Source organism: Homo sapiens, chromosome X (assembly GCF_000001405.40).
Source record: "Homo sapiens chromosome X, GRCh38.p14 Primary Assembly".
Taxonomy (NCBI): domain Eukaryota; kingdom Metazoa; phylum Chordata; class Mammalia; order Primates; family Hominidae; genus Homo; species Homo sapiens.
In genome coordinates, this window is record NC_000023.11 from 49,874,660 (window position 1) to 49,899,826 (window position 25,167).

At 43.0% G+C, this 25,167-nt stretch overlaps 1 protein-coding gene and 1 long non-coding RNA gene across 2 annotated transcripts, besides 3 other annotated features; one reads left to right on the plus strand and one right to left on the minus strand.

Moving 5' to 3' along the window:
• Window positions 205-705: an enhancer, noted in NCBI's record as "H3K4me1 hESC enhancer chrX:49639467-49639967 (GRCh37/hg19 assembly coordinates)". NCBI's record gives its function as "activates a minimal SCP1, AML or CMV promoter by ChIP-STARR-seq in naive H9 embryonic stem cells {active_cell/tissue: H9 hESC(naive)}" and the evidence as "EXISTENCE:reporter gene assay evidence [ECO:0000049][PMID:30033119]".
• USP27X-DT (USP27X divergent transcript) lies at window positions 2,065-4,697 on the minus strand. The gene is made up of 2 exons (NR_026742.1): window positions 4,432-4,697; window positions 2,065-4,088 (listed from the first exon to the last, which is right to left on the minus strand). It is a non-coding gene; the product is annotated as a USP27X divergent transcript (long non-coding RNA).
• Window positions 4,647-5,056: a silencer, noted in NCBI's record as "silent region_20846". NCBI's record gives its function as "represses an Ori minimal core promoter by ATAC-STARR-seq in GM12878 lymphoblastoid cells {active_cell/tissue: GM12878}" and the evidence as "EXISTENCE:reporter gene assay evidence [ECO:0000049][PMID:35858748]".
• On the plus strand, window positions 4,825-7,899 carry USP27X (ubiquitin specific peptidase 27 X-linked). The gene has a single exon (NM_001145073.3). It carries the CDS (start codon window positions 5,649-5,651, stop codon window positions 6,963-6,965), a length of 1,317 nt encoding a protein of 438 aa, NP_001138545.1. The 5' UTR covers window positions 4,825-5,648; the 3' UTR covers window positions 6,966-7,899.
• Window positions 5,097-5,176: a silencer, noted in NCBI's record as "silent region_20847". NCBI's record gives its function as "represses an Ori minimal core promoter by ATAC-STARR-seq in GM12878 lymphoblastoid cells {active_cell/tissue: GM12878}" and the evidence as "EXISTENCE:reporter gene assay evidence [ECO:0000049][PMID:35858748]".

The following is a 25,167-nucleotide window of genomic DNA, read 5'->3' on the forward strand; positions in this document are numbered from 1 at the left end:
TAAAAAAATACAGCTGGACCTCCATATCCGTGGGTTCCGAGTCATGGGATTCAACCAAACACAGATGGAAAATATTCAGGAAAAAAAAAGGATGGTTGCATCTGTACCAAACAGGTACAGACTTTTTTTCTTGTCACTATTCCCTAAACCAGGGGTCTCCAACCCGGGGGGCCACCTGTTAGGAACCGGGCCGCACAGCAGGAGGTGAGCAGCGGGCGGGCCAGCATTATGGCCTGAGCTCCGCCTCTTGTCAGATCAGCAGCGGCATTAGATTCTCATAGGAGCATGAACGCTATTGTGAACTGTGCATGCGAGGGATCTAAGTTGCACGCGCCTTATGAGAATCTAATGCCTGGTGATCTGAGGTGGCACAGTTTCATCCGGAAACCATCTCCCCGCCCCTGAAGCCCCCCATCCCTTCCCAACCGCCGTTAAAAAAAAAAAGTCTTCCACAAAACGGGTCCCTGGTGGTGCCAAACAGGTTAGGGATCGCTGCCCTAAACAATAGAGTACGGCAACTATTTACATAGCATCTGCATTGTATCAGGTATGATACAAAAAGTAACCTAGAGATGATTCAAAGTAACCTAGAGATGATTCAAAGTAACCTAGAGATGATTCAAAGTATATGAGGGGCTGTGTATAGGTTATATGCAAATACTACACAACATTTTATATCAGGGACCTGAATCTCTATGGATTTTGGTATCCACAGGGGTCCTGGAACCAATCTCCCACGGATTACCAAGGGACAACTGCATGTATAAAACATGCTTGTATTTGCATAGACAATTTCTTAAAGGCTAAATGTGAAAGTGCTAACAAGTAGTTATCTCAGGGGAATAAAAATGGGTGTGATTGGCGGGGGAGGGAAGAGCTTTAACTTTTCATGTTATGCCTTGTATACCTTGTTATTAAAAAAACACGAATATTGTATATATTACTTTTATAATAATAAATATAAACTAGCAACTTTTAAAGTGGAATGTGCATCACCCTGGAGTACAGGAGTTTTAAGGGGATCAATTTCTATATCCTCAAATTTCCTGTGTAGTCTTTTAAAATTGACCTGCCAGAGAACATACTTGCAGTGTAGGAATCAAACTGGTTCTCTTTTTCTATCTCCCCTTTCACAATGGTCCTTTTTGCACTTTACAAAAGAAAAAGCATATCTTTTACCTATCCTGAATCTTAACCTGGGTGCGCTGCCCTGTGATGTAAAATCCTTGGGGCACAGGAGAGACAATTCCGAACAATGCTGACGATGGTAAACAAACAACTTGCTCTAACAAATGAATGGGGATAAAATCCTTTTGCAACTCAGATGGTTTCCAATTCTTTGCTTCCAGTAGAATTGAAGAAAAAACCTATGAAGTTATCAGCTGATAAATCATGAGAAATAATTTTGAGGATAAATCATTGTGTAATTTCCCCCCATATATCTCCAAAGGAATTCAAAGACTTGCGTGCATTGCTAAAACAAAATGTCCATTCCTATTCACTTATTCATATAAATGAGGTTTCTGTGTGCTAACATTTAACCAAACAAAAAATAGGAAGAGAATTGATGCTGAAGCCTATCTCATTCTAGCAAAAAGCAATGTTTATCCATGGATACACCCATTAATTTTTTTTAAAAAAGCCCTATCTACAATGAACTTTTGTTTTACGTTTAATAATTACCTATCAAAATTTGTAATATATTCACAATGTTTTGATCCATTTTATTCTAATACTAATTGTCATGATAATTCAAACAAGAGCAAATTTTTAAACAACACTTAGAGCCTTATAATCAGAGGAACATTTAAAGAGCATTTAAATTGAAAAATATATACACATTTTTGCTGCAGAGAAATACGATAGGATAATCAAAAACATTTCAAGTGAAAAAACAGACAATTATTGAGACAAAATTCTGTTGGAAAAACAGAATGGAATTAAGAGCTGAGAAAAGGGAAAATGTACAACTTCCAAGTATCAAAGAAGAGCTCAGTTATACATTTTTAAAACAGATGATGGTGGCTCTCAAGTCACTAAGGTATTTAGGTTTCACCGGATTCATGTGAAATAGTGACATAACAGTTTTATTTTTGAATATTAACATTTGTCACAAATTACATTATTTGTAGCCAATTGACATTTGTGATGCAAAATATCAGACATCAACCCAAAAATGTGTGAAGGAGCACACGTTTTTCTTAATATTTTTAGAGAGCATTTTATATAAACCAATAGTTTTATATAAACATACAAAACATATATGAGGAATTGTCATTTACTCTTTTGCCACCTTGTGGTCAGAGTTGGATTTATCACCCAGGTGCATCTACTGCGAAGGAGAGCTGTCTCTCCTAAGGATAGCCCCAACTGCCTGCATTCTGTCAGATCTTTGTGAGGCAGAGATGGTAACATTTGCTAGGATCTGGGTCCAGATCCACATAAGGACAAAGCATCTAAAGATTTTGGTGACACCCTCCACACGTGATTCAAAACAAAAGCATCATGTAATCAGGAAATGAATGTAAGGAAGTACAACAAAGTTCTGATTTTTCCCACGAGGACTACTTAAAAAAAATCAAATGTCAAACTGTTTCTGGTATTTTTTCTTTTTTGATTTTTTGTCTTTGGTGCCTCTTCTCTGCTAGTGACATAGACTTTCCTTAGTGTGCCTTTTGGGGAAGCCATCCCTGATTTCAGTAGCCCTGGAGTAAGTTGGAGTGCTGTGTCCACAGCTCTTGGTACATCTGGCCCTCGGTCAGTGCAGAATAAACATTTGTTGAGTGAATGGTGACAGAGCCCTCCATTTTCAGAACACGCTGGCCTGGGCAGAGTCCAGGTGGACCTATGGGCTTCTGCAGGAAGTTGATCACTAAGTCAACAAGTTACCATGGCTAATCTTCAATGGTAGACAGTCCCAGGTACACAGAGATCTTTAGGTCTTTTTGTTGTCAGTCTGGAGGTGGGATGAGAGTATCCTCCACCCCCTCATCCATGACCTCGGTTGTTTTTAGCAGCAGCAGCAGCAGCAGGATTCCTTCAGTGAGTGTGCTAGTTGCAGTTCCTCTGGTTGCAGGCCACAAAGGGCAGGCATTTATTGAAAGGATGCTGGGGTGCTTCAAGGAATTGAAGCAAGAGCTGACTCAGGAAGGGTAGGGCCCAGGGCAACCCTCAGTTTTATGGGAACCACGCATCCTCCTTTCAAGGGCTCCTGATTCCTGAGGCCCAACTCCTGCTGCTAACCCTAGGAGGCCTCCCCATCCCCTCCCTAGAGGAAGGGGCCAGGTGGAGAGCTGATGTCCAGTGCTGAGCAAGGAGAATGTTGCTAGGGTATGTATACTCAGGCAGCACAGCCACACAAGCCAGACAGCGTGCACTAGGCTACAGCCAGCCACCACCAGGATTAGGGGACTAGACTCTTCCTAGAACACTCTTTCTCCTCCTACTCCTGTCCTGATGCCTGCCCTGGGCTGCACTCTCTGGGACCAGCAGCTACAGCCCGACACCCTCGAGCCATGACCCAGGTCTGAGCCACTTGCTCTGGGCACACTCCTCGTGGGCTCTGGGGTGCTGCTGCCCAGTGCCAGCAGCCCCTTGGCACAGGGGTTCCCAGAGGCCTCTCAGCCTCATGTCCGACTCCCTCTCCCTGCTGGCAGCTCCACAGGCTTCTTTCCACTTCCACCTGCTGCCCCCCTCCCCCGGGATGCTGCCAGGGCTTAAGGGTCTTGGGAGTGTGTCCTGTAGTTTAGGCCCCCTCTCAGCTGTAGGGGAAGTGCCAGCTGTAGGGATGGCCTTGTCGTGCCTCGTCCCTCCAGCTGGCCTTGGAGAGAAGAGGTGGATTGTGCCATCGGGCTGCTCAGCGTCTGCTGGGCCAGGAGGCCGGCTGTCAAGCCATTAACCCACCCGTGGCCTTGGGAGCCCAGGAGGACGCGAGCAGCAGGCCCAGACCCTGCAGAGCGCTGATAAGATGGGCCAGGGACGCGCCTCTCCAGGCCCAGCGGCCTTGGTAGCCCGGCCCCCCCGGAGCTGGGGTCCAGGCCTCCCCAGAACTGCAGCTGGAGCTTCATCCTTTTCGGGAAGCGCAGGACCTGGCGTGGGAAGGGAGACAGGGACGAGGCTAGAGGCAGGCTCGGCCGCCGAAATGATGGCCTGTCACGGCTTCTGCCTGCGCTCCCTAGGACCCCCCTCAGAGGGGACATTTCACAGCCTCAGAAACATTTCTGGACTTGGCACCCGCTCGGCCCCCAGCCCCGCAGTGGCCGAGGGAAGCCTGCATAGACGAGGGGAAGGACGAGGAGAGGGGAGGAGACGATGAAGGGGGTCAGAGCAGCGATTGGAGCCGAGAGCTGGAAGCGCCTTAAAGAGACTGCGCGGTCCCCGCCCCCCTTCCCGCCAGCCTCAATGAATTAGAGCTGTGTTTCCCAAACTTGCCTGATCATAAGCAGCCTCTGGGGCCCTAGTTAGAGATACAGGTTCCGGAGTACCTCCCTTCGAGATTCTGATTCAGTAGGCCTGCGGGTGGAGCCAAGGAATCTGTAATTTTAACACGCTCCCCACGTGATTCTCGTGAACAAGCAAGTTTGGAAAATACTGAATTAAAGGAAACGGGGCCTGGCTGCAGAAGCAGCCTCCACTAGGGGGCTTCGGCGGGAGGATTCCCGGGGGCGTCGCCTGCTTCCGCCGCCGCCTCCTTCAGTGAAAGTCCCTTTTGGGTCCAGCTGCCACAGCCACCGCGCTCCCTCAGGCCGGGCGGGGGACACCCCAGGTCTGCGTGGCCCCCGCGCCGCCACGCCCAGTGGCCGCCCGAGCCCTGCGAGCAGGGGGAGGAGCCGCCGCCAGTGGAGGCGGAGGAGGTAGAGGAGGCGGAGACGGCGGAGAAGGCGGAGAGGAAGGTGGAGGCGGAGGCGAAGGTGGAGGGGAAGGCGGAGGCGGCGGGGAAGGCGGAGGCGGCGGGGAAGGTGGACGCCACCGAGAAGGTGGAGACGGCGGGGAAGGTGGACGCCGCTGGGAAGGTGGAGACGGCGGAGGGTCCGGGCCGCCGGGCTGAGCTCAAGCTGGAGCCCGAACCCGAGCCGGTCCGGGAGGCGGAGCAGGAGCCGAAGCAGGAGCTGGAGGATGAGAACCCAGCGCGGAGCGGCGGTGGCGGCAACAGCGACGAGGTTCCTCCCCCCACCCTTCCCTCCGATCCACCGCGGCCCCCCGATCCCTCTCCGCGTCGCAGTCGTGCGCCGCGCCGCCGACCCCGGCCCCGGCCCCAGACCCGGCTCCGTACCCCGCCGCAGCCTAGGCCCCGGCCCCCGCCCCGGCCCCGGCCCCGGCGCGGCCCTGGGGGCGGATGCCTGGATGTGGATTTTGCCGTGGGGCCACCAGGCTGTTCTCACGTGAACAGCTTTAAGGTGGGAGAGAACTGGAGGCAGGAACTGCGGGTTATCTACCAGTGCTTCGTGTGGTGTGGAACCCCAGAGACCAGGAAAAGCAAGGCAAAGTCCTGCATCTGCCATGTGTGTGGCACCCATCTGAACAGACTCCACTCTTGCCTTTCCTGTGTCTTCTTTGGCTGCTTCACGGAGAAACACATTCACGAGCACGCAGAGACGAAACAACACAACTTAGCAGTAGACCTGTATTACGGAGGTATATACTGCTTTATGTGTAAGGACTATGTATATGACAAAGACATTGAGCAAATTGCCAAAGAAGAGCAAGGAGAAGCTTTGAAATTACAAGCCTCCACCTCAACAGAGGTTTCTCACCAGCAGTGTTCAGTGCCAGGCCTTGGTGAGAAATTCCCAACCTGGGAAACAACCAAACCAGAATTAGAACTGCTGGGGCACAACCCGAGGAGAAGAAGAATCACCTCCAGCTTTACGATCGGTTTAAGAGGACTCATCAATCTTGGCAACACGTGCTTTATGAACTGCATTGTCCAGGCCCTCACCCACACGCCGATACTGAGAGATTTCTTTCTCTCTGACAGGCACCGATGTGAGATGCCGAGTCCCGAGTTGTGTCTGGTCTGTGAGATGTCGTCGCTGTTTCGGGAGTTGTATTCTGGAAACCCGTCTCCTCATGTGCCCTATAAGTTACTGCACCTGGTGTGGATACATGCCCGCCATTTAGCAGGGTACAGGCAACAGGATGCCCACGAGTTCCTCATTGCAGCGTTAGATGTCCTGCACAGGCACTGCAAAGGTGATGATGTCGGGAAGGCGGCCAACAATCCCAACCACTGTAACTGCATCATAGACCAAATCTTCACAGGTGGCCTGCAGTCTGATGTCACCTGTCAAGCCTGCCATGGCGTCTCCACCACGATAGACCCATGCTGGGACATTAGTTTGGACTTGCCTGGCTCTTGCACCTCCTTCTGGCCCATGAGCCCAGGGAGGGAGAGCAGTGTGAACGGGGAAAGCCACATACCAGGAATCACCACCCTCACGGACTGCTTGCGGAGGTTTACGAGGCCAGAGCACTTAGGAAGCAGTGCCAAAATCAAATGTGGTAGTTGCCAAAGCTACCAGGAATCTACCAAACAGCTCACAATGAATAAATTACCTGTCGTTGCCTGTTTTCATTTCAAACGGTTTGAACATTCAGCGAAACAGAGGCGCAAGATCACTACATACATTTCCTTTCCTCTGGAGCTGGATATGACGCCGTTTATGGCCTCAAGTAAAGAGAGCAGAATGAATGGACAATTGCAGCTGCCAACCAATAGTGGAAACAACGAAAATAAGTATTCCTTGTTTGCTGTGGTTAATCACCAAGGAACCTTGGAGAGTGGCCACTATACCAGCTTCATCCGGCACCACAAGGACCAGTGGTTCAAGTGTGATGATGCCGTCATCACTAAGGCCAGTATTAAGGACGTACTGGACAGTGAAGGGTATTTACTGTTCTATCACAAACAGGTGCTAGAACATGAGTCAGAAAAAGTGAAAGAAATGAACACACAAGCCTACTGAAGTGACACACAGACCTACCTGCAATGGAAGATGACGACACCAATACTACAACTGGCATCGAGATCTAAAGGACCTACTTGACCATGGCCCATGGGCCTGACAGAGTAAGAATTGAACAGTACCCAGTGTCCAAAAGGTCCTGATTGGAAGAGAAATAGAAGGGGAGGGAGAAGAGGCTCTAGTCTAAGCAGTTGATGAAAGGGAAATTAAATGGTAGAAACACTCTGGGTGAGGAAGGCAGGAGCAGGAAAATGCTGACACTGGTACATATCCTATATTCCTCCAAAAGATTGTGTGGGAAAGTGTGGGGGGGAGGGGGGTGGTGGGGGGGGAGTGTGCCCTTGTAACCGTAAAACATCTTTCTCCATGGGTGTTTCAGCTTCAATTGACCAATCACATAACAGTTATATGTTTGGGGGGAAAAAGAAAAGTTTCTAAAAAATGTAGCCCATTACATATATGGGTATGAAAGCAGAAAAGTGGAGGAGGCAGGGATATCATTGACAAACACCTTTGCCAGTTTCTTTGTATTCGTGATTTTTTGTGCTATTAAATGCAGTATTAAAACAAGAAAAGCCCACCTGGGCTAGTGAAAGGAGAGGAAATAAGGGGGCTTGTAAAAGGGGAGCCGTCGCTCCAAAAGTAGAGAAGACAAGAAATGCTGTAAGATAAGCAACCAACGCAGACAGGCCTCAGCTAAGAGTATAGTGTGTGTGTGTTAAAAAAAAAAAAAAAAAAAGAAAAAAAAAAGCTGTATGATATACTTGAGCAAATCAATGAACCTCTTTGCGATTGTTTTATCATCTGTAAAATGCAGATAATTCCTACCTTAAAGGGTTATTGTTAAAGATAAAATGATATAAAAATGTGTCAAAGTATAAAGTAAAAGGCTTGGAACTTTGTAGGGACTCAGTAAACGTTTGTTGGATCCAAACCTGAAACTTCTTTGGACCAGGCCCAGAATGCATCAGAGGTGGGGGTCAGTCCTGCCTGAGACCCCTGGACAGAAGGGACACACATCATGTCACATACAGTCACACACACATTCTCCACAACTCCCTCCCCAATGCTGTCTATTTAGAGTACCAAGGCAATGAACTCCACTTTTGTCCCTTGTGTGCAGGGCATCACAGTGGGTGCCACCTGGGATTGGGGGTGGAAAGGACCACAGCTGTCCCATAAGGTCATTATTCTGTCCTTTTGGAGGACAGTCATGTTGCTTTCATGATTCAGATCCCAGTGATGGGACTCTCATGGCCAGTAGGCTGCCAGGCTTGCACACGAGGGAATTTGGTGGTCTTCGTCTTCTAAAAACATTATGGGTTCGGTTGCTATGTTTACTCACAGGCACAGATCAGTAGAAAGACTGTTTTCCAAAGTTCACTGGCCCATCAGCCCAGGGATATTGATAGAGTGGCTTGTTGGCCCCTTCCCTGATACTGTCAGAGGGCAGAGCAGCCTGCAGAGAGCTAAGCCAAAACAGATGGGATGAACCCAGGATGGGGTAAGCACTATGAGTCCTTCTCTCATCAGCATCAGGTACAAAAGTAATTGTTACCTAGATAATCCTGGAGGGAAATTGAATGCGTATCACATCCATGGGGCTTGGATCCACTGGCTCTGGTAAAAGGCTGGGCTCCCCATTGCTTCCCAAGTCTACTTCATGGTCAACTCATTTGGAAATATATGTTTATTTACGTGGCTGTGGGTGCATCACAACTAGCTTATAGGCTTTTTTAGGACAGGAGTTGTGTCTCCTCTTGTACCTTGGGATGCATTCTCATTCCCTTAGCTCCTGTCACATGGTAAGTAGGTATTCAAAACATTTACTGAATGAATGAATGGATGGATGAGTTAATGAACCAATACACCTTCCTTTCATAACCGAGATTTCATTAACACCTAGGGCTCATAATTTTCAGGAGAAAATGTAAAAAGTTGTTATTTTTGGTGTCTTGTAGGATGGGGGAGCTCAAGAGATGGGTGACTTTGGATGGCACTTGGCAACTTCGTGCAGGGTGTCTGACTACCTTTTGGGATGGGTCTGGTATCCCTACCTGGAAGAACACAGCCATGTCCTCATTCTTCATCTCTGCCAGGGGAAGAGTCCAGGCAGGCCTGTGCCACCAGATCCTGACTGCTTGCACAGAAACTGACCTTTAAAAATTTTAAACATTTTTATTTGGAAATCATTTCAAGTTTACAGAAAAGTTATAAAAAATAGTATAAAGAGCATCTGTATGCTCTATACCAGATTTACCTGTTGGGAAATTTTACCTCATTTGTATTATCATTTGCACATGTGCACTCTTTTATAAATGGGGGTGTGTATTTTTGAACGATATGAAGATAAATTAATTACATATATCATGGCCCTCCATGCCTAAATATGTCAGTGTGCATTTCCTAAAAATAGGCATATTCCCCACATCACTACAGTAGAGCTTCAGAAAATTTAACATTGATAGAATACATTAATCTACGATTTGTATTCCAATTTTGTCTGGTGACCCAGTAAGGTCCTTTATAGCATTTTCCCACTCTATTGCAGGATCTGGTTTAGGGTGAAGTATTGCATTTAGTTGTCATCTCTCTTTAGCCTCCTTTAATCTGGAACATTTCCACAACCTTTCTTCATCTTGTATGACATTCACATTTTTAATAGCACATTCCTCATTTTGGGTTTGTCTGATACAGAAAACCCTTTTAAATACCCTGCACTCAACCATAGTTCTAAGAGGAACTCACTGAGAGCTATGAATGGCAAGAGATGCTGAACCTGACCTCCCTGTCTCGGCTGGTGGAAGGCACAGACCGCCAGGGGGAGCAGCTGTGCTGGGCACTTTCTAATTGAACCTCATGCCTCCTATATCTGGAAAACAGCATTGTCCCTTAGCAACAGGGCAGCCATTCAAGGCCAGTCCTATGCCCCTACGAGTCACTAACCCCCAAATTGAGCAATGGAATGTAACAGCAGCCAGAGCCTGCCTTCAGATCATACCATCGTGGAACCCAAGGCATCATGTATTCAGCAGGTATGTGTTAACCTTGAGCTCAAACTGAGATCCAGGCATGTTTGAGAATGTCTGGCACATGGTCAGGCACCTCCACGATTAGGGCCTTTAGGGGTATCAGGAAGTAGCACCCTTGGCACCTTCACTAACGTTCCCACGGTGAGCACAAATACAGCAGTGGCAGGGGTGGGGAGGGAAGGGGTAACTAGTTCTCAAACAGCTTCATGGTCAGAGTACACAAAGATAGGGGCCCAGAATAAGTAAGAAAGAACATGGGAGATGGTGAAAACGGATTGGTTTGTAACCTACTGGGGACTTGCAGACACAATTGGGTTATTTTTCATGTGGGCTGGAGTTCCTAGATGAGCAGATGGGACAAGAACCAGTGAAATTTAAGCTAATTCTTTTTTTTTTTTTTTTTTTGAGACAGAGTCTTGCTCTGTCGCCCAGGCTGGAGTGCAGTGCAATGGCGTGATCTCAGCTCACCGCAACCTCTGCCTCCTAGGTTCAAGCAATTCTCCTGCCTCAGCCTACCGAGTAGCTGGGATTACAGGCGCCCACCACCACACCCAGCTAATTTTTTGTATTTTTAGTAGAGACAGGGTTTTGCCATGTTGGCCAGGCTGGTCTCAAACTCCTGACTTCAGGTGATCCACCCGCCTTGGCCTCCCAAAGTGCTGGGATTACAGGTGTGAGCCACTGCGCCCAGCTAAGCTAATTCTTTAGCAGAGACTTCATTTACATCCACATACTGTTAGGACTGGGAGACTTGGTTCGTATGTAGGTTTGTGATCTGGACTCAGAGGGGCACAGGTGAAATATGGGTGCTCACAACTGGGGGCATTAACCACCCACAGAGTTCAGAACCATGTACCAAACAATGAGATACTGCCCTGTCACCCATTACACATTTCTTCCCACAATTTCGTGGCATAATTTGATTAGAAATCCAGGACCCTGCCATTTACCATTTCTTGGAGTAGCCAGATGCTAAAACTGACTCTGGCCTGCAGGTCACATTGGTAACTGTCTCACTTATTCACTGTCTACAGGGAATTCTGATCAGGGACGCCATCAACCAAAAGGCCTTTTTCCGATCAAGAAACAGAGTGGCCCCCACGCAACTCTTACTTTCAAATCCAGTAGACCTGGTGCCAGAAACCTGTGTTTCCTCCAAATGTATGTTTCACACCCAGAAACGAAGGCCCAGATCCTCTGAAAGTATGTAGCCCAGCACTCACCACAGTGTGTCATTACACACTTGCTCTGCAGGTGAGACCCAGTGCCATTTTTAAACTCTTATATTGAAGTATATCAAATATACAGGAAAAGTGCACATATCATTTATAACTTGATGAATTTCTACAAAGTAAACATATCCCTGTAAGCAGCATCCAGATCAAGAAACAAAACATTCCCCAGAACTCAAAGACACCTATCTTAACTTCTTTTCACTGTAGATTAGTGTTGTCTGTCTTTAGACCTTCTCTAAATGCAGTTGTTCAGCATGTACTCTTTTATGTCTGGCTTCTTTTGTTCGATAGTCATTTTATGAACTTCAGACCTCGAGTCTTTTTTTTTTTTAAAGTAATACCCTCTCAGAGAGGAGAGAGTGGGCTGGCCTCTGTGAAATGAGATCAGCCTGAAGTCTTTTTGTCAAGAAAAATTAGGAGGAACTTCATTATTTCTGTCTAATGAACTAAGAGTAGGAATCCCTACTCGTCCCTGTGATTTATTTGTTTGTTTGTTTGTTTTATTTATTTATTTTCTTTTGAGATGGGGTCTCACTCTGTCACCCAGGCTGGAGTGCAATGGTGCAATCATGCAGTGTCGACCTCCTGGGCTCAAACAATCCTCCCACCTCAGCCTCCTGATATTGAATCAATTCGGAGGGACTCAGGCCATTGCAAAGTTGTGTCTTTGCCTTGAGAATGTCTATAATCTCACTCAGGTACAAGAAAGTGTCTCAAGAGTGTCTGTAATATCACTCAGGTAAAAGAAAATGGTGGATGGAAAATAACCTTCCAAAGAAGCTTGGGTTAATTTAAGCACCCAAGAAATGTTAATCTTGGGCAACACTTCAGCCTTGTTCCAGTAGCTCCTGAATGCAATATTCTGGTAATTTCTCAAACTTTAATATGCATCAGAGGTCCTCATGTACCAAGAGGGCTCATTAACACACAGATTGCTGGGTCCCACCCCCAGAGTTTCTGGTTCAGTAGATCTGGGATGGGGGCTTGAGAATTTGCATTTCTAACACATCCCCAGGTGATGCCCATACTCCTAGTTCTGGGACCACACTTTGAGAACCACTGATCTATTCGTTATCTCACCTTCCTGGAGTCCAAGGAGTCTATGAAGATGGCCCAGGGAGCACCTTGGAGAGCACTGCAGGGAGCAAGGAAAATAAGTTGGTGAGATCAGAACTCTCAACCCCACTTCAACCAGAGAAGCTCTCCTCTTATTTGTTTGGTATTTGGGGGTTCCAGGTAATACTTGCAGAAAGGGTTCTGCTACTAAACTATTTTAAAGTTGAAACTCACTGTGGTAAGAAATTTTAGACCCCAGGGGAATGATATACTTAAACGACCTGGTGGTGTGTCTGGAAAGTAATCCAGCCTGCTACAGAGGCCTGGCCTCATGTGCACTCACAATCTAGATGGTCCTGAGGGGAGACTTAATTTCTTTAGAACTTAAAGAAGTGGATATTTATGAGGATGGAAATGATAAGGAAGAATGCTTAATTATAAAAAGGTGCCAAATTGTGTGTATAAAACATGGTTTCTTCTGGCAACACAGCACACTAAGATGATATAACTAGTGCCTCGTTCCCACTACAAACATAGATTAACACTAGATCAACTAGAACAAAAATTTACATTTCTAGCTGAGCTTTAAAAAATAAAAATCAAAATCTCTAGGGAAACAAAAGGAAAAACAAAAGGCAGTGTAGTAGTTGTAAACAGACACTGCAGTGTCCTGTGTGGTATTGGTTCCAGATATCAGGCCCTGAGGGCTAGGGACTTGGAGCTGGGAGTCCAATACCCATCCAGGTGCTGACAACACAGCTTCAGGTCCACCACAGGCAGAGGAGCTATAGGTGAAACCTCTGGGTAAAGCCTTTAGTAACTTCTCTTGTCCATTAAAAGGGGGTTGAAGAATAAACAATGAAAGGGCTTATGTTGTCTCTGGAACCACAAGGAGAAATAAAAATCCCAGGCCTATGTTCTATGTGGATGTGGGGTCAAAATTTACTGTGTGGTATGGGAATCACATGCTGAAAAATTAAAAGCTGGGACAGAACCATTGAAACCTATAGAATCTCAGCAAAAGCAAATGCAATACATTTTTATGATCCAGGGTAATGGAACCCCACAGAAAAAGAAAGGATCTGCTGAAGATGGGCTCAGAAATAAGCAACAATAAAAATCAAGTCCTTGCATATAAATGATACGCCATGAAGGAGAGTCACCAGTTGCCATAAGGAGAATTAGTACCCCCAAGAAATACTGCTGAGAAGAACTGCTACTCTTTTTTTGAGAGTGAAATGAGGAAATTTTCAGGGAAAAAAAACAAAACTAAACTAAGAAAATTTAGCAATAATAGCCTCTCACAAGAATAACTACCACAAGAGATACTTCACGAAGGAGGAACTTGAAAGTAGGGAGAAGGGGTGAATAGGAGGCAAGGAACAGTGAACAAAAATTGTAAACGTGGGGAAATCTAAATGAGCATTAATTATATAAGGCAATAATAATGCTAAAGAATATGGGAGTATAAAAACAAGCTGGCACTAAAAACACAGAAGCACACAAAAACATGTAGGACACACCCCATAAATATGTGCAACTATTATGTATTCATAAAAAGAAAAATAAACATGTAAGACAGCAGGGCACTATTCATATTTAAAGCATTCTAAGGTGGTTGTATTGTTTGGAAAGACAGTAGGGATATTGCCTGAATTTAGACCTTGTTAAGTCAAGTATGAATGTTTAACCATTTAAGAGTATGGACTTCTAGGTTCTGGCAATGGCAGAATTAGTTATTTGATTTGACTTCATTATTGAATTAATGAAGAAATGCTGAATAAAATATTTCAAAACTACTTTAAAAGCACTGAAGAGCTGAGAGGACAAAGGAAAACTTCCAGGCCAACTTTTGGATGACAGCTGCAACCAAACAGGTAAACAGAATATAGAGGCATCAAAGCCAATTTGATTTAAGGGCATTTGCCTACACTGCCCACCTGAGCTTTGATTCAATGGCCACACAGGATTGGGGGAAAGAAGGCAAGGCTCAGGATCAACCCAAGGTAGGAGTTTAATAGGGAACCCTCTCCACATTAACCTGAGACCCCAAGGGACTATCTCTGCAGCCTGAGGGCCATCCAGAACTAAGCCTATTATAGATTTAGTTATAGTAGGAGCTTCTGTTCCCAATACTCCCTGAGAACTATACCGAAGTCTGCCTTGGTGCTAAGTAGAGCTCTCTTGCTAAAAAAGAAAGGGTTAAAAAGAAGGCTACAAAATCTATTCCTGAGAAGATGAGGCCACACTCCAGCCCTCAGACAGATTGACTCCCCTATTATCCATGGCCTGGGTCAGCTACAGAACTTCAAACCATGAACTTAGTTGTGGGTGGCTGCCAGACAGGTAGCACTCCAAGGTGCTCAGTAGAAACAAATACAAAATCTCTGGAGGAGAATAAATCCATCTCAGGCCTCAGGGAACCGCCACAAATAAATTGTCACAGGCAATGATCAGAAAGCAGGCTAAAATAGTCAGTTGCATAATGAAACAAGGTAACTTGACTTAGAACCAGCAGGGAAAGGAAACAATAGAAACAAACTTGCTCAGGCTTCATATCACAGAGTTATTAGACACATTTTAAAATGACCATGTGTTCTATGTTTAAAGAAATAGATTATTAATCTGAAAATATCTGCAGAGAAGAGGAACCCATAAAAAGTGACATGGCATATTGTGGGGAAAAGAGGGGGAAAAACTTCTAAAAGTGAAGAAATGAAAATATGGGATAGAGAGGAGAGATGTGGAGGATGTAATTAGGAAATCTAGCATACATTGATTACAATATGAGAGGAAGATAATATGACTACGAAATACTGTTACTATTCATATACTTAATATTCAATAATTCAAAAGTTGACAATGTTAATATTAAATAATAATAATGGTTGAGTATTTTAATAGACCCAATGAAAGAAATCAATCCACACATTTAAGAAGCCCAACAAATACCAAGTAGGATAAATAAAAAGAAATCTACACCCAGATACTGCAGAAAAACGAAGAGAAAGAGAAAATGGAGCCAGGGGAAATATGACAGCTCATTTCATGGGAATAGCAATTAGACTGACAGCTGACTTCTCAACAATCAGAAAATAATGAAATGATCTTCAATTTGATTATTGTTAACTTAGCATTCTATACTCAGCAAAAATATTTATAAAGGATGAGAGTAAAATAGAGACATTTTCAGGCAAACATTGAGATAATTCTTCATCAGCAGGTCCTCACTAAGGGAAATTCAGTAAAAAGCAGAAGGAAAATTATCCCAAGTAGAAGGTCTGTGATGGGTGAAAGAATGAAAAGTAAAGATGATGGTAAACATGTGGACAAATGCAAATAAACACTGAAGTATAAAATAATCACAATCATTGCTAGTGGGATTTGAAAAAGCAATGGAGACTTGAAATACAAGATAACATTAGCATATGAGTTTTAAGTTATTGAGTTATCTAAAAGAAGGGTAAAGGAATTTTTTTTTCAAATTTTAGACTTTTGTAAGTAAATTATGCATATTGTTATTTCTGAAGTAGCCATTAAAAAATAGAAACAGAGGGCACAATGTCCTAACTTACACACTAGCAGAGGGGGGCAACAGAATGATAATAAGAGATATATAACTTCCAAGCCACCAAAGGATAAAATGGGGTTAAACTCCATCAATCAAATTGAAGGCAGGAAAGAAGAGGAAAAATAAAGAAGCATTGAAAAATTAGAGTAACTCAAGGGTTGAAGAAAAGTCATAATGTAAATTAGAAAATACTTAGAACTGAATGATAGAAATATAGCTATAAAAGTTGTGAGATAGAACTAAAGCAGAACTTAAAGGGAGCAGTATGGCCTTGAATTTTTTTTATTAAAAAGCAAGTTAAAATTTAATGATTTAAACATCTAATTAAAGAAGTTAGAAAACCAACAACAAATTAAGCCTAATGAAAGTAGGTATAATCTACATAAGATCATAAATTGATAAAATAGAAAACAGAAGGTGAGGCCCAGCACTTTGAGAGGCTGACGCCTCACTCGAGGTCAGGAGTTTGAGACCAGCCTGGCCAACATGGCAAAACCTCATCTCTACTAAAAATACACATACAAAAAAAATTAGCCAGGTATGGTGGTGGGCACCTGTAATCCCAGCTCGGGAGGCTGAGGCAGGAGAATTGCTTGAAACTGGGAGGTGGAGGTAGCAGTGAGCCGAGATCGCACCACTGCACTCCAGCCTGGACAACAGAGGGAGACTCTGTTTAATAATAAAAAAAGAAGGAAAGAAAGAAAAGGAAAGAAAGAAAGAAAGAGAAAGAAAAAAACAGAGAATATCAATACAACTAAAACTTGGTTTTTTGAAGACAAAATTCTGTGAGAACTGAAGAAGAAAATTTTTTTAAAAGGCTCAAGTGAATAATATTAAGAATGAATAGAGGGGACCATGCGCAGTGGCTCACACCTGTAATCCCAGCACTTTGGGAGGCCGAGGCGGGCAGATCACTTGATGTCAGGTGTTCAAGACCAGCCTGGCCAACATGTTGAAACCCTGTCTCTACTAAAAATACAAAATTAGCTGGGCGTGGTGGTGTGCACCTGTAATCTCAGCTACTCAGGAGGCGGAGGTGGGAGAATTGCTTGAACCCGGAAGGCAGAGGTTGCAGTGAGCTGACATCATGCCATTGCACTCCGGCCTGGGCGACAGAGTAAGACTCCATCTCAAAAAAAAAAAAAAAAAAAAAAAAAAAATATATATATATATATATATATATATATATATATATTGCAAAACTTATTTAAGAAAAATTAGAAAGACTGAAAGATGTATATTTTTAAAAATTGAATCAATAACTAAAAATCTACTCTCCCCCAGAAAATTTTTAAAAAGGTTTCTAAGGTGAGATCTACCAAAGCTACCTGATACAAACTGTTCTAGGAAATGTAAAACGAGGAAATACTTCCACATCATTTTATGCAATTAGTATATAATCTTTACATCAAAACTGGTGAGAATAGTACAAGACAAGAATATTTTCAACCAGTCTCATAAACCTGGATACAAAAACCCTAAAAATACTTGCAAACTGAATTACCAATGTATATGAAAAAGCTATATCATGACCAAATTATATTTATCTCAGGGATACAAGGATGGCTTAATGTTAGAAAGTTTATTAAAATTTTTGGTTAAAGATGGAGGGCTGAATCTCACATTAGCTTTTTCTCTCTCTCAATACCTCACTAATTTGCTAGTAAAGGGAATTTAAAATGGAACAAATCCACAGAGACAGGAAGAATGAGTTTGTATACAGCAACAATAAAATTAAGGGGTCTAGAACCAGCTCTGGTTTCAGCTCCAACATGTAAAAAACTTGGAAATCATCATGCCTGTCCCTACAGTAAGAAGGTAGTGTAAACTAAAAATAGATTATTTTTCCTAGACCCATCAGAGAATTGAAGTCACAGGGCAAATTACTACCCTGAAATCTGGAGAGACAGGGAGATCCAAAGAGATTCAGCACCTGAGATGTGCTTACCTAGAATAAAAGCTGGTGACAGCCATAAGTGGTAGGACCACTTACTTGACTAGTGGTTTTGACAAGTTGCTGGAAACTGAGTGAGGACTAGCATGAGACTGAGAAATACCTGAAGGCCACACTTATAGGAGAAGTTCACACTTTTGAGGGCTTTCCCTGCAATAACTTCACCAAGTTCTCATGATAAGGATCTGAGAAAAATCCCCCTGAGGATCTGGCTGATGTAGGGGGAAGTGTAGCTATTGCGTAACCCCTAGATACTTCTTCATAACAAAAGTCTATTCTTGGGTTCCGGGATCCTTCATCATAAAGTAGTACTGAAACTTTATCCCACCTGGAGAAGGGATTTCCACTCCGCTCCAGGCTTTCCGTATCACCTAAAGGGAAAAAAACAGTAAATAGGGAACAGGCTTAAGGGAAATAGATTGGAAATGCTGCAATCAGGAAGGGGAGTAGGGAGATGAGTTAGGCTCCTGAAGGAAGGATGGAACCATTTGTGTAGGCTACAACCCCCGAGACCCAGGCACACTCAAAGACTGATAATTAATCAGAAGATTATAGACTGATTCCCTTCCCCCACACCCTACCCAATCTCTCATATCCTGGTACTAAGATATTAGGATTGTGGCACCATCTTTGTGGAAGACTGGGTTAGGTCTGAAATACTATTACTGGTGAAATGAATTATTTCACACAGTTTGTGGACAGAGTATTTGATACAAGAAACTTTTTTTTGAGACAGGGTCTCACTTTATTACCCAGGCTGAAGTGCAGTGGTGCCATCACAGCTCACTGCAGCTTCGAACTCCTGGGCTTAAGCGATCCTCCTGCTTCAGCCTCCCAAGTAGCTAGAGCTACAGGCATGCGCCACCATGCTCGGCTGATTTTTGTACTTTTTGTAGAGGTAGGGTTTTGGCATTTTGCCCAGGCTAGTCTCAAACTCCTGGGCTCAAGTGATCTGCCCACCTTGGCCTCCCAAAGTGCTGGGATTATAGGCACAAGCCACTGTGCCCAGCCTTGATATAAGAAACTTATGTTGAGGATGTGGACCAGTTTATAGTATTTTTCAACAGGTAGCCAGCCCATCAAATTATGAGTGGGAATTGGAAAAGGACCAGTTCAATACCTATGCGTAGAAACTGGGAGAAAATGACGAAAGAGAAAGGAACATAATCAAAGAGCAAATGGCAAAGTTTACCCAAGGAAACACTGGAAGTATTATAAATATCATGATGGTGTATAGATATCATACTATCATAATGGGTCAGAGGGCATAATGAAGAAATATAAGAGCTCAAAGAAGACAATTAAGATAATATTTTAACCAAGTTTGTAAATCTCAGAACAAAATAGAAAAGAAAAATAAATTACAAAGCCACATGAGAAGCAAACAAATAAACAAACCTCACAGCTAAAAAAATAGATACACTGTGAAAAAGCTCAAGAAAATCACACCAAACAAAATGGAAGAGAGCAAATAGCACCGTAATTATAGAGAGAACTACAGCCTATAAGGTAGGTAAAGCTGGTGTGAGAAATCCTTCATCTCACCCCAAATAAAGAAATCCTTCATCTCACCCCAAATAGAAACCCTTCATCTCACCCCAAATAAATAAATTCTGTATAAAATGTAACAGAAATAAGATAGGTATAGCAACATTCAGTCAAGAAAGGAGATCATGAGTACCAGGGACAAAAAGGGAAGGCAAATTTAGATCAATGACCCTGAGCTGAAGCTGAACCACCTAAGGAGGGTATGGCACTTCGGTATATACTAGCAGTAATAATGAAAGGGAGCTCTGGGGACCCCGGGGGGGAACCTTTTGGGGGTTCACAAAGTCAAAACTATTTTCACAATAATACCGAGATTTTATTTGAATTTATTGATTTCTTTATTAAGTACATAGTGCAGTTTTCCTGGGGCTATGATATTACAACAGGTTGAATATAGAAGGAGATATGAGAATCCAGCCAGATTTGTAAAAATGTAAAACAATGCAATTAAATGTTTTGCATATTTGAATATATACTTATTTTTCACTAAAAGTATGTTATTTATGTAACATGTAACATGTTTTCAGTATTATTTTAAATGAATTAACAAATTAATATTTAAAAATTTTATCACTTTTAAGTTCTATTATGGCAAATATTGATAGATATAACCCACCTAAACAAAAGTTCTTTAGGATGTTCAAAATAATTTATTTTTATGTTAAAATTAACATATAGTAAAACTGAGTTTGTTGGCATGCAGTTTGAAGAATTTTAGCACTTGCATATGTTCATGTAACCACCACCACAAACAGAATAAAGAACAGTTCTATTACACTCAAAATCCTTTGTGCTGTTCCATTGTCACACCTTACCCCAACCCTAAGCCCTGACAACTGATTTGCTCTCCATCACTATAGTTACAACTTTTTGAGAATGTCATATAAATGGAATTATACAATATGTCACCTTTTGAGACTTTCTTCTTTCCCTTAGCATGATGCCTTTGAGATACAATCAAGTTGTAGGGTGAATCCATAGTTCCTTTTTATTTCTGAGTGCTACTACAGTTTATTTATCCATTCACCCATTGAAGAATATTTGGGTTATTTCCACTTTGGGGCTATTACAAATAAAACTACTATGAACATTCATGTACAGGTTTCATTTGAACATTTTTCCAAGGTGAATACACAGGAGTGGGATTGCCAGATCATATGGTAAGTGTATGTTTAATTTCCTAAGAAACTCCAAATTTCTTTCCAAAGTGGCTGTGCCATTTTGCATTCTGAAGAGCATTGTAAGAGTTCCAGCTGCTCTGCATCCCTGCTAACAATGGTTTTGTCTCTTTCTTTCTTTCTTTCTCTCTCTTTCTTTCTTTCTTTCTTTCTTTCTTTCTTTTCTTTCTTTCTTTCCTGCTTTCCTCCCTTCCTTCCTTCCTTCCTTTTCTTTTCTTTTTTCTTTTCTTTTCTTTTTTTTTGAGACAGAGTCTTGCTCTGTCACCCAGGCTGGAGTGCAGTGGCATGATCTTGGCTCACTGCAACCTCTGCCTCCCGGGTTCAAGTGATCCTCCTGCCTCAGCCTCCCGAGTAGCTGGGACTAGAGGCATCTGCCACCACACCTGGCTAATTTTTGTATTTTTGTTTGTTTGTTTGTTTGTTTTACAGAGATGGGGTTTCACCGCGTTGGCCAGGCTGATCTCAAACTCCTGGCCTCAAGTGATCCACCCACCTCAGCCTGCCAAAGTGCTGGGATTACAGGCACACCTGGCCTGGTTTTGTCAGTATTTCTAATTTAGGCATTTAAATAGGTGTGTAGTAGTATCTCATCATGGTTTTAATATGTATTTTCTTAATGGCTATTGATATTGATAATCATTTTTTCTTTTCTTTCTTTCTTTTTTTTTTTTTTTGAGACAGGGTCTCAGTCTGTCATTCAAGCTGGAGTGCAGCAGTGCCATCTTGGCTCACTGAAATCTCTGCCTCCTGGGATTTGGTGATTCTCCTGCCTCAGCCTTCTGAGTAGCTGGGACTACAGGCATGTGCCACCATGCCCAGCTAATTTTTGTATATTTTTATTGGAGGGAGATGTTCTTCATGTTGCCCAGACTGGTCTCAAATTCCTGAGTTCAAGCGATCCTCCTGCCTCAGCCTCCCAAAGTGTTGGGATTACAGGCGTGAGCCATTGTGTCTGGCCTCATGTGCTTATTTTCATCCATATACACTCTTTGTTGATGTGATTGTTGAAGTCTTTTGGCCATTTTAAAATGGTGCTTAAATTTTCTAACTGCTGAGTTGTAAGAGTTCTTTATACATGCTGGATAGAAGTCCTCTGTCAGATATGTGATTTGAAAGTATATTATCCTGATCTGTAGCTTCTCATATCCTTCTCTGAACAGTGTCTTTCACAGAACAAAAGATTTTGGTTTTGATGAAGTCCAAATTATAATCTTTCTTCTTTTATAGATCATGCTTTTTGCGTCATGTCAAAAAATTTTACCTAATCCCAGATTATAGAGATATTTCTCCTGTTTTCTGCTAAAAGTTTCACACTATTATATTTTACATTTATATATGTTGTTGATTTTGAATTAATGTTTGCATAAGGTGTAAAGTTAAGGTTGAGGTTCTTTTTTTTGTATATGAAAGTACAGTTGTTCCAATACCATTCATTCATTTGTTGAAAATATAATCCTCTCTTCATTGAATTGCCTTTGCACTTTTATCAAAAATCAAATGTCCATACTGGTGTGGGGCTATTTCTGAACTCTCTGTTCTGCATTGATCTACATGTGTGTGCCTTCACTAACACCACACTCTCTGGACTCTATAACTTCATAGTAAGTCTTACAGTCAGGTAGTCTCATTACTTCAGCTTTATTCTTTTAAAAATTGTTTTAGCTATTCTCATTCTTTTGTCTTTTCATATAAATTTTGGTATCACCTTGTGATATGGTTTGGGTTTGTGTCCCCACCCAAATATCATCTCAAATTTAATTCTCACATGTCAAGGGAGCAACCTGTAATACCCACGTGTCAAGGGAGGGAGGTGACTGGATCATGGGGGCGGTTTCCCCCATGCTGTTCTCATGATAGTGAGTGAGTTCTCACAAGATCTGATGGTTTTACAAGTGTTTGACAGCTCTTCCTTCACACTCTCACACTCTATCCTACCGTCTTGTGAAGAAGGGCTTGCTTCCCCTTCCACCGTGATTGTAAGCTTCCTGAGGCTTCCCCAGCTATATGGAACTGTGAGTCAATGAAACCTCTTTCCTTTATAAATTACCCAGTCTAAGGGAAGTTCTTTATAGCAAGGTGAAAACAGACTAATACAGTACATTGATACCACAGAGAGTGGGGTACTGCATAAAGATACTTTAAATTGTGGAAGCAACTTTGGAACTGGGTAACAGGCAGAGGTTGAAACAGAGTGGAGGGCTTAGAAGAGGACAGGAAGATGTGGGAAAATTTGGAGCTTCCTAGAGACTTGTTGAATGGTTTTGACCAAAATGCTGATAGTGATGAAGACAATGACATCCAGGCTGAGGTGGTCTTAGATGGAAATGGGGAACTTATTGGGAAGAGGAGTAAAGGTCACTCATGCTATGCTTTAGCAAAGAGGCTGGCGGCATTTTGCCCCTGCCCTAGAGATCTATGGAACTTTGAACTTGAGAGAGATTATTTAAGGTATCTGACAGCAGAAATTTCTAAGCAGCAAGCAGCAGAGCATTCAAGATGTGACTTGGAGTATTCTGAAAGCATTCAGTCTTATGTGTTCACAAAGAGGTAATTTGAAATTGGAACTTATGTTTAAAAGGGAAGCAGAGTATAAAAGTTTGGAAAATTTGCAGCCCGATGATGTAGTAGAAAAGTGAAACCCATTTTCTGGGAAGAAATTCAAGCCAGCTGCAGAAATTTGCATAAGTAATGAGGAGCCAAATGTTAATCACCAAGGCAATGGGGAAAATGTTTCCAGGGCATGTCAGAGACCTTCGTGGCAGCTCCTTCCATCACAGACCCAGAGGCCTGGGAGGGAAAAATGGTTTCCTGGGCAGGGCCCAGGGCCCCTGCTGCTCTGTGCAGCCTTGGGACTTCGTAGCCTGCATCCCAGATGCTCAGATCTAGCTAAAAGGGGCCAAGGTACAGCTTGAGCCATTGCTTCAGAGGGTGCAAGCCCCAAGACTTGGCACCTTCTGCTTGGATGTCCAGGCAGAAGTCTGCTGCAGGGGTGGAGTGCTCATGGAGAACCTCTGCTAGGGCAGTGTGGAAAGGAAATATGGGGTTGGAGCCCACACACAGAGTCCCCACTGGGGCAATACCTAGTGGAGCTGTGAGAAGAGGGTCACCATCCTCCTGACCCCAGAATGGTAGATCCACCAACAGCTTGTAATGTGTGTCTGGAAAAGACACAGGCACTCAACACCAGCTGGTGAAGGAGCTGCCCAAGGCCATGGGAGCCGCCCCCCCTTGCATCAGCATGTCCTGGATGTGAGACATGGAGTCAAAGGGGATTATTCTGGAGTTTCAAGATTTAATGACTGCCCAACTGGATTTCAGACTTGCATGGGGCCCCTTTGTTTTGGCCGATTTCTCCCATTTGGAATGGGAGCATTTATCCAATGCCTGTACCCCCATTGTATCTTGGAAGTAACTATTTTGCTTTTGATTTTACAGGATCCTAGGTGGAAGGGGCTTGTCTCAGATGAGACTTTGAACTTGGACTTTTGGGTTAGTGCTGAAATGAGTTAAGACTTTGGAGGACTGTTGGGAAGGCATGATTGGTTTTGAAATGTGAGGACATGAGATTTGGGAGGAGCCAGGGCTGGAATTATATGGTTTGGCTCTGAGTTCCTACCAAAATCTCATCTCAAATTGTAATCCCCATGTGTGGAGGGAAGGACCTGTAATACCCATGCATTGAGGAAGGGAAGTGATTGGATCATGAGGGCGGTTTCCCTCATGCTGTTCTCATGATAGTGAGTGAGTTCTCACAAGATCTGATGGTTTTATAAGTGTTTGACAGTTACTCCTTCACATGTTCACACTCTCTCCTGCTGCTTTTTGAAGAAGATGCCTACTTCCCCATCTGCCATGATTGTAAGTTTCCTGAGGTGTCTCCAGCCATGCGGACCTGTACGTCACTTAAACCTCTTTTCTTGATAAATTACCCAGTCTCAGGGAAGTTCTTTATAGCAATGTGAAAACAGACTAATATACCTTGTTAATATTGACCAAAATATTGCTTGGATTTTGACAGGAATTGCATTAAGTATATACATTAACTTGGGGGAGAATTGACATCTTTACTATGTTAAATTTACCAGTTCATGAACCTGATATGTCCCTCCATTTATTTAGGTATTCACTGATTTCTTCCATCAGCATTTTGTAGTTTTTATTATACACTTTTGGATTTGGGACTGCCATGAGTTCAAAAGAACTCATGAAAAAATAAAGTGGTAAACTCACTGATAATTTAGAGTATTATGAAATCTAGTCTTCTCCAAATCCAGTCTTCTCCAAATAAATTAAGTCTTCTGTATTTATTTTCAAAGTACTCAAATAGCTGCTCCATGTGTTCTGTCTATGTTTTATAGCTGTATTTAGTGAGGGAGACACTGTGCAGTTTGCTCACTTCATTTTACCCAGAACAAAACCCAGTAATTTTTAAGTTTGAGAACGATTACATTTTAGGGGCTGAAGTTTTAATATGCTCACAGAGACAAACAATGAGGCCATAAAGCAGGAACTGAGTTCCATCCATTAAGCCATGAGCCACCCTTTTATACAAAGAAAACTGGTAAAGTTTCACCCACAGGGCCAGAAATATAGCAAGAAAGCTCACCATTTGTTTAGGACAATAAATG